General features: G+C 45.7%; 1 protein-coding gene across 17 annotated transcripts in view, besides 1 other annotated feature; it reads right to left on the reverse strand.

Moving 5' to 3' along the window:
* The window catches only part of TMCO4 (transmembrane and coiled-coil domains 4), a 117,677-nt gene that overhangs the window by 97,628 nt on the left and 7,501 nt on the right, over positions 1–12,548 (reverse strand). For 11 of the 17 annotated variants that reach the window (XM_011541185.4, XM_047416926.1, XM_011541181.2 and 8 more), the window contains 3 exons: positions 7,159–7,250; positions 5,539–5,612; positions 713–899 (listed from right to left, as the gene is read on the reverse strand). In XM_011541185.4, the coding sequence (XP_011539487.1) occupies positions 713–891 (179 nt within the window). In that variant the 5' untranslated portion in view covers positions 892–899; positions 5,539–5,612; positions 7,159–7,250. Of the gene's footprint in view, positions 1–712; positions 900–5,538; positions 5,613–7,158; positions 7,251–12,548 lie in introns of those variants that run through there. The other 6 variants (NM_001349112.3, NM_181719.7, NM_001349113.3 and 3 more) reach the window with 2 other exon arrangements.
* Positions 253–754: an enhancer, noted in NCBI's record as "H3K4me1 hESC enhancer chr1:20106613-20107114 (GRCh37/hg19 assembly coordinates)". NCBI's record gives its function as "activates a minimal SCP1, AML or CMV promoter by ChIP-STARR-seq in naive H9 embryonic stem cells {active_cell/tissue: H9 hESC(naive)}" and the evidence as "EXISTENCE:reporter gene assay evidence [ECO:0000049][PMID:30033119]".

A 12,548-nucleotide genomic window follows, 5' to 3' on the forward strand; every position in this document is an offset into this window, starting at 1 on the left:
TCCATGTACTTCAAATCATACCTGGAATACAGTAAGTGCTCAAAAAATGTTCGGTGAAGGTATAAATGAGTGAATAACTGAATGAGGGGATGTCTTATCCCCCCACCAGATTGTGAGTTCCTTAGAGCAGCAGTCCCCAACCTTTTTGGCACCAGGGACTGGTTTCAGGGAAGACAATTTTTCCAGGGACCCGGCGCAGGTAGGGTTCAGGATGAAACTGTTCCACCTCAGATCATCAGGCGTTAGTTAGATTCTCATAAGAAGCGTGCCACCTAGATCCCTCGCGTGCGCAGTTCACGATAGGGTTTGAGCTTCTATGAGAATCTAATGCTGCCACAACTCAACCTCTCTGCACTTAGATTTCTTCATCTACAGATGGGACCATACAGTGTGGACCTGGAAGAGCTGTGTCAGTAGCAAAGGACACAGCCCATGTGGCTTAGTATTCATAAAATGCTTAGAACAGGAGGCAGAGGTCAGGCAGTAATTCTCATTCACCCACCACTCACCTCCTGCTGTGCGGCCAGGTTCCTAACAGGCTACAGACCAGTACTGGTCCACGGCCTGGAGGTTAGAGACCCCTGCGTTAGAGGCAAGGACAATGACTTGCCCCTCTCTGCATTGCCTCATCGTGCCTGGCAGGCTGTTTGGCTGTCCGTAGTTGTTCCCCTGAAGAAGCATGACCTTCCCACTGCAAGACAGAAGAACTCACCTGTGTTCGGGTTCAGGAAATAACTGGGACAGGGAGATGCCACAGAGGGCAGCATAGGCGAAGCGGTTGGCCTCAGTCAGCTCCCGGCCCGTGGGCAGGTGTGGCTCCCCCTCTGCAGTGGGCTCAGCTACCAGAGGCTGCTGAGGCAGCCTCTGGCATGGCCTGTTCCACATGGCCATTCCCAGCGCTGCAGGAGAAAATTCCCAGTGAGAAATGCTTCCAGAGGTAAGCCAAGGTTACTTAAGCATGACACAGAACTTACAAACCATAAAAGGTTGATAAAGTAGGCATCATTAAAATGAAGAACTTCTTTTCATCACCTTTAGGAGAGTGAGAACACACACTACAGACCAGGATGGAGGGAGGGATCTTCAATATGTCTATCCACAAAGGTCTATACACAGTATCCAAACAACTAACTCCAGTAAGTCATTAAGAAAAAGAAACGAAGCAAATTTAAAAATGGGCAAAAGACTTGAATAGATACTTCATAAAAGAGATTCCACAGTGAGCCGAGATCGCGCCACGGCACTCCAGCCTGGCTGACAGAGCGAGACTCCATCTCAAAAAAAAAAAAAAAAAAAAAAAGATATTCCTCAGGCCAGGTATGGTGGCTCATGCCTCTAATCCCAGCACTTTTGGAAGCCGAGGTAGGAGGACTGATTGAGCCCAGGAGTTCAAGACCAGCCTGGGCAACATAGTGAGACTCCATCTCTACAGAAAAATAAAATAAAATAATTAGCTGGGCATGGTGGCACACGCCTGTAGTTCCAGCTACTTAGGAAGCTAAGGTGAGAGGATTGCTTAAGCCTAGGAGTTTAAGGCTGCAATGAGCTATGATCATTGCACTCCAGCGTGGGCTAGAGAATGAAACCCTGTCTCTTAAAAAAAAAAAAAACCCAATAGCCAATAAGTATGAAAAGATGTTCAACATCGTTAGTCATCAGAGAAATGGAAATTAAAATCCCAATGAGACACTAACTCTCACCTATCAGAATAGCTAAAACTAAAAAGACTGAGAATACCAAGTGCTGGTGAGGATGAAGAGCAAACAGAACTTTCTTTTTTTTTTTTTTTTTTCTTTTGAGATGGAGTCTCGCTCTGTCGCCCAGGCTGGAGTGCAGTGGCACGATCTTGGCTCACTGCAAGCTCCGCCTCCTGGGTTCACATCATTCTCCTGCCTCAGCCTCCCGCGTAGCTGGGACTACAGGCGCCCACTACCACACCTGGCTAACTTTTTGTATTTTTAGTAGAGACGGGGTTTCACTGTGTTAGCCAGGATGGTCTCCATCTCCTGACCTCGTGATCCGCCCGCCTTGGCCTCCCAAAGTGCTGGGATTACAGGCATGAGCCACCACGCCTGGCTGCAAACAGAACTTTCATACACTGCTGGTGGGAGTGTACATTGGTATAACTATTTGGAAAATGGTTTGACAATATCCACTAAAGCTAAACATATGTCTTCCCTATGCTCTGGCAATTCCACTCCTGAGAAATGAGGACTTAAGTCACGAAAAGACACATACATGAATGCTCACAGCAACTTCATTCACAATAGTCCCAAACTGGCAACAACCCACACGTCTATCACAGTAGAATGGATAAATGGTCATATTCATACTGTGAAACATTACACAGCAATGGAAAGGGAATGAACTACAGCAAACATGAATGAATCTCAGACAAAATGATACACAGAAAGCCATTCACGAGAGAGTACCTACCATGGGATTCCCTTTATATGAAACTGAAAAATGCTAAACCCAATGTATGGTGATGGAAGTCAGATGAGGGGTTACATGTGGGAGGGAGTATTGGCTCAGAATGGGTACAAAGGAGGTTTCTGGGTGAAGGAAATGATCTCTATCTTGACCTGGGTGGTCATCATATGGGTATAAATATATTTAAAAATTCCCTGAACTGTATAGTTAATATTTATGCACTTTGTGTATGGTATACCTCAAAGGAAGGAAGGAAGAAGGAAAAAAAGGGAGGAAGGTCTCCTCTTTGTTCTCCCTCCTTCTTTTCCTTCCCTCTATTCTTTCCTTCCTTCCCAGGGGGAAAAGGGAAAGGGAGGAGAAGAGTAGGAAGAGGAGGGAGAGAAAAGGAGAGAGGGGACACGCCAAGAAGGCATCCAAGAAGCAGAAAGAACCCTGGGAGCCACCAGGAAGGGTACAGGGAAGGGTGCCAGCCTCTACTACAGGGGATCAAGGATATGAATGCAGGCTCAGGACCAGACAGACCTGGGCGTGAAAACAAGCACCGCCACTTATTAGATATGGGACCCTAGGCAACTCAACCTCTCTGTACTTAGATTTCTTCACCTACAGATGGGACCATACAGTATCTACCTAGAAGAGCTGTGTCAGTAGTAAAGGACACAGCCCATGTGGCTTAGTACTCGTAAAGCACCTAGAATAGAGCCTGGCACAGGGTTCATGCTATATAAATGCTTGTTTAAAAAATAAAGGCACAAAATGATCAACAAACAAATAAGTAAAATGCTTGGCATGGTGCCTGGCACATAGCAAAGGTTTAATAATAACAAGACCTAACATTACTGAGTTATTACTGGGTGTAGGGCACTGGGGTTGCAATTTTAACATGCATTGTCTCAGCAGACTCTAGAGGCAAGTAGGACTGTAATGTTCAGTTTGCAAATTAGGAAACAGGCTCAGAGAAGTAACTGGGCTCCCCTGATACAGCCAGTCAATGGCAGACATATAGGGCCCAAAGACAGAACTGTTGGCCACCAACTCTGTTTTAAATATTCATCACATGGCCAGGAGTCTTCTAGTCTAATAACCACACTCCAAACAGTTATTTGTTCATAAGTTTGTTCCCATCTAGCTGAGCAATAAAAATTTTTGTTCTCAAAATATTACTTCTGTAGAGGAGTTATTTAAAAGTCTGTCCACAACTAATATTTCATTTGTTTTCAAAACAACCCTGAGGTAGTTCAAAGCAACAAACCAACACTTTTACAGCACATAACTGTTTACAAAGCATTTTCCAGTCTGCTTAATTCTTATAACTACCATGTAAAGTTAAGTAGGACATGAACCATTACGATTCCCTCTTACAACCGAGGAACAGGCTCAGAAAGACCAAGCAATTTTCCCAAACTTACACAGTAAGTGATGAGATCCAAACCAGACTTTTGACTCCAAACCTTGAGCTCTTTCCTCTACACCAGCACAGGGATCTTATTTCCCCTGTTTCAGATGGAGAAACGGAGGCCCAGAGAGGTTAAGACCTCGCCCAAAGTCACCCAGCAAGACTGGCCTCAATGGTTGCTCTAGGAACCCACGTTTGAGATTTGCAGCAAATTTCCCTGGCTCAGAGGGTCAGCTCAGACCATGGTGGTGGGAACAGGGGCAACAGCATAAACCATGAACTAAGGGCAGTGCCAAGGGCAGCACTAGCCTGATGTCAGCAGGTCAGAAATTTCCACTACATTTAATCAACTCCACGTGCCACTTGGAGGCTATATTGATCGCACCTATTACTCAGAGGAGCCCAAGGTAGTATTTTACTGAACTGGTATCTGGGAAGCCCCACGCCAGTTCTTAGCTCAATAATAAACAGCTTTCTGATCAGGGAAGGGTAAGCTGGCCTGCTTCTAACCACAGAGGTATGAGGATGTGTCTAGAGTACAAAAGGCTAAGCTCAGGCTGGGCGCGGTAGCTCACGCCTGTAATCCCAGCACTTTGGGAGGCCGAGGCGGGTGGATCACTTGAGGTCAAGAGTTTGAGACCAGCCTGGCCAACATAGTGAAACCCCGTCTCTACTAAAAATACAAAAATTAACTGTGCATGGTTGGGTGTGCCTGTAATCCCAGCTACTCGGGAGGCTGAGGCAGGAGAATCACCTGAATCTGGGAGGCAGAGGTTGCAGTGAGCTGAGATTGTGCCACTGCACTCCAGTCTGGACAACAGAGCAAGACTCCATCTAACAAAATAATAATAATAATAAAGCTAAACTCAGACCAAATTCATTCATTCATTCAACACAATTTCTCCTGATGCCCTACAATGCATTCTCTACATAGTGGCCTCAGTGACCTTTTTGTCACATAGACCAGTCATGTCACTAGGTTGCTTAAAAGCCTGCAAAAGCCTCCCATCACATCAGGATAAATTCCAATCTTGGTATGATGGCCTAAGAGGGGTGTCCAATCTTTTGGCTTCCCTGGGCTACACTGGAAGAAGAATTGGTTTGGGCCACACATGAAATACACTAACATTAAATGATAGCTGATGCACTAAAAAAAAAAAAAAAAAAAAAAAATTTCGCAAGACAACCTCATAATGTTTTAAGAAAGTCTATGAATTTGTGTTGGGCCGCATTCAAAGCTGTCCTGGGCTATATGTGGCCCACAGGCCGAAGATTGGACAAGCTTAAATGTCCTGTGCAATCCGGTTGCTGCCTGCCACTGAACTCCATCTCATGTCCCCACACCGGTCTTGTTCACTACGCTACAGCCACACTGGCTGTCTTTCTGCTCATTCCCTCCAGGCCCTTGCACCTGCCATTCTCCCTGCTGGGACCACCCTTCCCTGACCATCACATCATCTGGCCTCAGCCCAGATGTCACCTCCTCTGAGAGACCTTCCCTGACCACCCAGGCTACAGTATTAGGTTGGTGCAAAAGTAACTGTGGTTTTTGCAATTTAATAGCAAGACCCACAATTACTTTGCACCAACCTAATATCTTTGTCTTCTATCTCAGCACCCTGTTCTATTTTTATACTACTCATTCTTACCTAAAATAATGTTTTTTTGTTTGTTTCTTTTGTTTTGTTTTGTTTTACTTATTTGTTTACCTGTGTGTACGAGGCAGTTCCCTGGTTGTTTTTTCACTGCCACACCCCGAGCTTTCTGGACAGGACCTGGATCACTGTAGGCATTCAGGAAATACTTGCTGGATGAATGAAGAAGGGGCTAGGATGTGGGAAGCCCTGTTCTGGGCCTTAGGGCAGATCAGAGGATGAAACTGACAAGTTCCCTGCTCTTAAGGGGCTTACATTCTGGTGGGAGACAGGCAATAATATGCCAATACATAATGACAAAGCGACCTAAGTTGGTCAAGGTCACAGAGCTAATAAGCAGTAGAACCGAGACACACACTCAGGAGGTCTGGTTGCAGAATCCATGCCCTCAGCAGCCCACTCAACACATAGCTAACTAAGCATTCCTTCAGGAAGTGGTCAGGGGGAGGAACAGTGAGGCAGGGTGAGGGGATATGAAGTGATGGGGTGAAGCAGGGCTGGCTACTGTATGTGGATGAAAGGTGTCATTCCAGCAGAGGCCTGCAGAAGTCACAGGCTGGGTGGAGAGGTATTCCTTAGAGGAAACAGTATGGTGGTAGAGACAGACAAATACACAGACAATGGTGGCTGGGCACAGTGGCTCACGCCTGTAATCCGAGAGCTTTCGGAGGCTGAGGCAGGAGGACTGCAGGAGCCTGGGCAACAAAGTGAGACCCTGTCTTTACAAAAATAATAATATTTTAAAAATTAGCCAGGCATGGTGGAGCATACCTGTGGTCCCAGCTACTCAAGAGTATGAGGCAGGAGCATCGCTTAAGCCCAGGAGTCTGAGGAATTTGAGGCTGCAGCGAGCCGTGATCGCACTATTGCCCTCCAGCCTGGTGACAGAGCAAGACCCTGTCTCTCAAAGAAAAATAAACCAGAACAAACAGAAAAAACAGACAACAACAACCCGTGTGATAAACACCATGACAGGGGAAACATGAGAGTCAGAGGGATCCCAAGATGGGGACCCTGAACCCAGCACTGGCTCCCTGGAGAAGGTGATGGTAAAGCTGCGACCTGAACAAGGAGTGAATCAGACAGGGGTGGGGTGGGCACGTCTTTGACAAAGGGAAAAGCATGTGTCAAGACCCAGAGGTAGAGGAGAAACACTTTAGAAGAACCAAAAAGATGTTTGGTGCGGCCAGGGCTTGGACAATGGGTGGGCGTGAAGAAATGAGGTGGGAGTAGAAGCTGCCAAGGGCTGCCCCAGGCAGGGCCAAGTTCGTCTCACTAAGGAATTAGGCTTCCTTGTAAAGGCAACGGCCATGCGGGAGGCTGAATGAGGGTGCATGGAACCTCTTGGTACTATATTTGCAACTTCCTGTGAGCCTATAATTATTTTAAAATAAAAATTTTTTTAAAAAGTAGTCGAACATCTCTAAAGAATTTTAAAAACCTTTTCTTGAGGCAAAAGTAAAACATAAATGAATATTGACCTCTTAACGGGTTAAATGAATCTAATAAACACGTATTAGCCCTACTACAGTGGTGACTAAGACAGGCATATAAAGACCCCTTAATTGGGAGATTATATTCTAGAGAGGGAGACAGAAAATGTGAACTCAGAAAGAAGACCATTTTAAATAGTAATAAGGGGCTACTGAAGGAAAAGAAACCTTCAATACTTACCCAGATTTCAAGAAACAGCCGTGGGCCTCTCTCTGTCTGAAGACAGGCTGCTCAGGTTCTGGATGGTTCTTTGGAGAAATATGCAAATTGCCCTGCGGGAGAAAACCAGAAAAACCAGCCTGTGGGTCCACGGAGTGTGAGATCTGGGGGAGGCTACGGCAGAGGGAGCTGGCTGGTCAGTTAAAGCTCAGGGGAGCCTGGCACTGCACCGTCGCTCCCCTGGGCCCTTGCCCTGCACGTTCCTTGACGTGGGGTGCTCTTCTCAATAGGGTGGTAGGGCAGGCAGCTACCACTGCTGAGCACTCACCATGTGCTGGGCACGGCCCTGCCACTTTCCATGGATTGTCTCATTGAATGTCCTTGTTCAACTCTCTGTACCCTGAGCTGTGGTCACTGCATCCAGTTCCTCAGCGGGCACCCTGTCGCCTCCACATCTGTACCTGGTGCCTAACCACAGAGTGGGCACTCAGAAAATGTCAGTTACATGAACCGAGGAATGAACTAGCTTTCAGGCTTAAGCAAGAGCTAGATTTTCCTATATTTCTCCCTAAAGGCACTCCCTTTCTCACATGCCAATGGAGCATCAGATGGGGAAGGGAGATGGAGGAAGGGCCAAGCATCTGGAATTACCCAAAGGAGGTCTCAGGACCCAAAACCGCAACTTCAAACCAAAACTTCAAAACCAAAACCTCAACTAATTTGAGCTTCATCCTTAGTGCCATTTTCTTTTTCTTTTCTTTCTTTCTTTTTGAGACAGTTTTGCTCTGTCGCCCAGGCTGGAGTGCAGTGGTGCAATCTCAGCTCACTGCAACCTCCGCCTCCCAAGTTCAAGTGATTCTTGTGCCTCAGCCTCCTGAGTAGCTGGGATTACAGGCACGCACCACCATGCCTGGCTAATTTTTCATATTTTTAGTAGAGACGGGGTTTTGCCATGTTGCCCAGGCTGGTCTGGAACTCCTGAGCTCAGGCAATCTGCCTGCCTCAGCCTCCCAAAGTGCTAGGATTACAGGCGTGAGCCACTGCACCCAGCCCTTAGTGCCATTTTCAATGCTAGTGAAAACAATACTTTTTACCTCTTTAAGCTTCAGTGGGGTTTTTATTAAGTTATCAGTGGGAACACCCTTCTCCTGGATGTTGCGTTCCTCCCCAGCATGAGAATGTACCTGTACTGTGCCTAAAAACTGAATATTCACACCATGAGTCCAATCGTGTTAAAGCAATGGAGAGGAGAAAAATGACTGGAAGAACAGCCTCCAAAATTATCTCTGAATTGCCATTTACAGATATCAGAGACTTTTCTGTATTTCCCCCAAATTTTCTGCCACAAATTTGTATCGCTTTTGAACTCTCTAGAAAGTTATTTTGTGTAGGTCTCTATCCATAGAGAGGGTACTGTTAGGACACGCACCAGGATGCTGGCAGTGGCTAACTCCAGGTAGGCAGGGACCGGGATTGGATTCTGGATGATTTTAATTTTTTTATATATCTGTGTTTTATGAATTATTAACAATAAGTGTCGATTTTGAGATCAGAAAAAAAATAATTTAAAATTACAACATGCTGCACTGGTGACAATCCGTTTTGTGCTTCTCCTTCCAACCCTGTGTCCAGTGACACTGGCAGCCCGAGATTGGCATGTTGGGAATATTTACATCACAGAAATTAGCAAATGCTACAAATCAGGGATAATTTTGTTCTAGAGAGGTAGTAGAACAGAATTCGACTGCATATACAATATGACTCTAGTTATGTTTTTAAAACATGTTTCGGCTGGGTGTGGTAGCTCATGCCTGTAATTCCAGCATTTTGGGAGGCCGAGGCAGGTGGATCAGGAGGTCAGGAGATCAAGACCATCCTGGCTAACATGGTGAAACCCCGTCTCTACTAAAAATACAACAAATTAGCCAGGTGTGCTGGCACGCGCCTGTAGTCCCAGCTACTCAGGAGGCTGAGGCAGGAGAATGGCGTGAACCCGGGAGGCGGAGCTTGCAGTGAGCCGAGATCGCATCACTGCACTCCAGCCTGGGCGACAGAGTGAGACTCTGTCTCACAAAAAAAAAAAAATTAAATTAAAAAAAACAACAACCATGTTTCAGCCAGGTGTAGTGGCTCACGCCTGTAATCCCAGCACTTTGGGAGGCTGAGGCAGGCAGTTCACCTGAGTTGAGAAGCTCGAGACCAGCCTGGCCAACATGGCGAAACCCCATCTCTACTAAAAATACGAAAATTAGCTGGTTGTGCTGGTGCATGCCTGTAACCCCAGCTATTCAGGAGGCTGAGGCAGGAGAATTGCTAGAGCCCAGGAGGCAGAGAATGCAGTGAGCCAAGTATGCTCTTGAATGCACTGTACTCCAGCCTGGGCGACACAGTGAGACTCTGCCTCAAATAAATAAATAAATAAATAACAAAACATCTTTCACAGAGCAAAAAGATCAGAAGGAAATACATCAAAATGTTTATGATCATTGTCTCTTGGTTGGTGGGGCTAAGGGACTAGAGGTGATTGGTTTCTGTTCTTTCTATTTTTCTATATTTTTAGCATTTCGGTCATGAGCTTATTGGTGCTTTTATAATGTAGAAAAAAACCCTTTTAATTAGAACTAATTCTGCCTCTTGATCCTTAGAAGGGGAGTGTGTTTTATCTCAGAAAGCCCTGGACCCATGTGGCCCAGCCAAGCCAGTGGGGATGAGTTCACAGTTAAGTCCCATACATTTGACCAATAAGTCTTGTCAGTAAGAAAAGGAGGCTGGGTGCAGTGGCTCATGCCTATAATCCCAGCACTTTGGGAGGCCGAGGCAGGTGGATCTCTTGAGCCCAGGAGTTCGAGACCAGCCTGGGCAACATGGCAAAACCCCATCTCTACAACAAATACAAAAATTAGCCAGGCATGATGGTGAGTACCTGCAGTCCCAGCTACTCGGGAGGGTGAGGTGGGAGAATCACTTGAGTCTTGGGGGTCGAGGCTGCAGTGAGTTGAGATCCTGCCACTGGACTCCAGCCTGGGTGACAACAGAGTGAGACTCTGCCTCAGAAAAAAAAAAAAAAAAAGAGATTCCCTATTTAGTAAATGATGCTGGGAGAACTGGCTAGCCGTATGCAGAAAATTGAAACTAGACCCCTTCTTTACACCGTATACAAAAATTAACTGAAGATGGATTAAAGACTTAAAACCTAAAACTATAAAAACCCTAGAAGAACATCTAGGCAATACCATTCAGCACATAGGCACAGGCACAGATGTTATGACGAAATCACCAAAAGCAATTGCAACAAAAGCAAAAACTGACAAATGGGATCTGATTAAACTAAAGAGCTTCTGCACAGCAAAAGAAACTATCATCAGAGTGAACAGGCAACCTACAGAGTGGGAGAAAGTTTTTGCAATCTATCCATCTGATAAATGTCTAATATCAAGGAACTTAAGCAAATTTACAAGAAAAAAACAAACAACCCCATTAAAAAGTGGGCAAAGTACATGAACAGACACTTCTCAAAAGATATTCATGTTGCCAAGAAACATATGAAAAAAAAAGCTCAACATCACTGATCATTAGAGACATGCAAATCAAAACCACAATGAGATACCATCTCATGCCAGTCAGAACGGCAATTATTAAAAAGTCAGGAAACAACAGAAGCTGGCAAGGCTGCAGAGAAATAGGAACACTCTTACACTGTTGGTGGGAATGTAAATTAGTTCAACCATTGTCGAAGACGGTGTGGCGATTCCTCAAAGATCTAGAACCGGAAATACCATTTGACCCAGCAATCTCACTACTGGGTACATACCCAAAGGAATGTAAATCATTCTATTACAAAGATACCTGCACGTGTATGTTCACTGCAGCACTATTCACAATAGCAAAGACATGGAATCAGCCCAAATGCCCATTGATGATAGATTGGATAAAGAAAATGTGGTACATATACACCATGGAATGCTATGCAGCCATAAAAAGGAATGAGATCATATCCTTTGCAGGGATATGGATGGAGCTGGGAGCCATTATCCTCAGCAAACTAATTCAGTAACAGAAAACCAAACACCACATGTTCTCACTTATAAGTGGGAGCTGAACAATGAGCACACATGGACACAGGAAGGAGAACACACACTGGGGCCTGTCAGCGGGTGGGATGCGAGGAGAGAGAGCATTAGGAAAAACAGCTAATGCATGCTTGGCTCAATACCTAGGTGATGGGCTGCTAAGTGCAGCAAACCATCATGGCACATGTTTACCTATGTAACAAAACTGTACATCCTGTACATGTATCCCAGAACTTAAAATTAAAATTAAAATTAAAATTAAAAAAAAAAAGGAAAAGAAAATAGCAAGGGTTGGTGGGACAGACAGTGCAATTCTCAGCTTCTCAGCTCTCCATGATGCTGGAATGGGGGAGCCCATGGTTCCAACTCTATGGATTGTCTAACTGGACAGGCTGGGACCCCAAACTCTTCCAGCTGCACAAGCATGGGGGCAGCTGTGGTGTGGGAATGCGTCACCTGCTGTGTATACTGGTTCTTGGGGGCCTCCACCCCTTGATCTGATTTGGGATCAGGATCCAGTCCAAAATAAAACTGGATCTCAAGTGTGTCTGAGAAGTTACACTGATTCCAAGAGAGTGCTGGATTCCTGCGACGAGAAAAAGCCCCTTCTGTCAGGACCAGCAGTACCTCTGTGCCCTGGGGTCACCTAAGACACACAGGGCTGGTCCAGCAGCGCCCTGGGGCTCAGGAGTCACTGACGGAAGGAGGAGCTCCCAGCTCCCGGTAGCCTCCTGAGGTTCTTGTCCCGGGTACTGTGAAGACACCAAATGATATAGTTTGGCTGTGTCCCCACCCAAATCTCACCTTGAATTATAGCTCCCACAATTCCCACATGTCATGGGAGGGACTTGGTGGGAGGTAACTGAATCATGGGGGTGAGTCTTTCCTGTGCTATTCTCGTGAGAGTGAATAAGTCTCAGGAGATCTGATGACTTTTCGCTCGGTTCTCACTTCTCTCGTCTGCCATCATGTAAGACGTGCCTTTCACCTTCCGCCATGATTGTGAGGCCTCCCCAATCACACGGAACTATGCGTCCATTAAACATCTTTTTCTTTATAAATTACCCAGTCTCGGGTACGTCTTCATCAGCAGCATGAAAATGGACTAATACACCAAGGAACTCCAAGAAAGACCCATACTTAACCTAGAAGAGGATGCGATCTCCAGGGAAACAATATAGATATAGAGTGAGAATAACAGGGCAAACCCATGCCTACAGCTCGGCTGCACAGCCCAGACCTGGGATGGACAGAGGTCCTTCTGGAATGGGACCTTGTTTTGATATGCTATGATTATGACTTTTGTCTAGCCAGTCACATCATCCGTCACCAAAGAAAATG

The sequence above is a fragment of the Homo sapiens genome, chromosome 1 (assembly GCF_000001405.40).
Source record: "Homo sapiens chromosome 1, GRCh38.p14 Primary Assembly".
Classification (NCBI taxonomy): domain Eukaryota; kingdom Metazoa; phylum Chordata; class Mammalia; order Primates; family Hominidae; genus Homo; species Homo sapiens.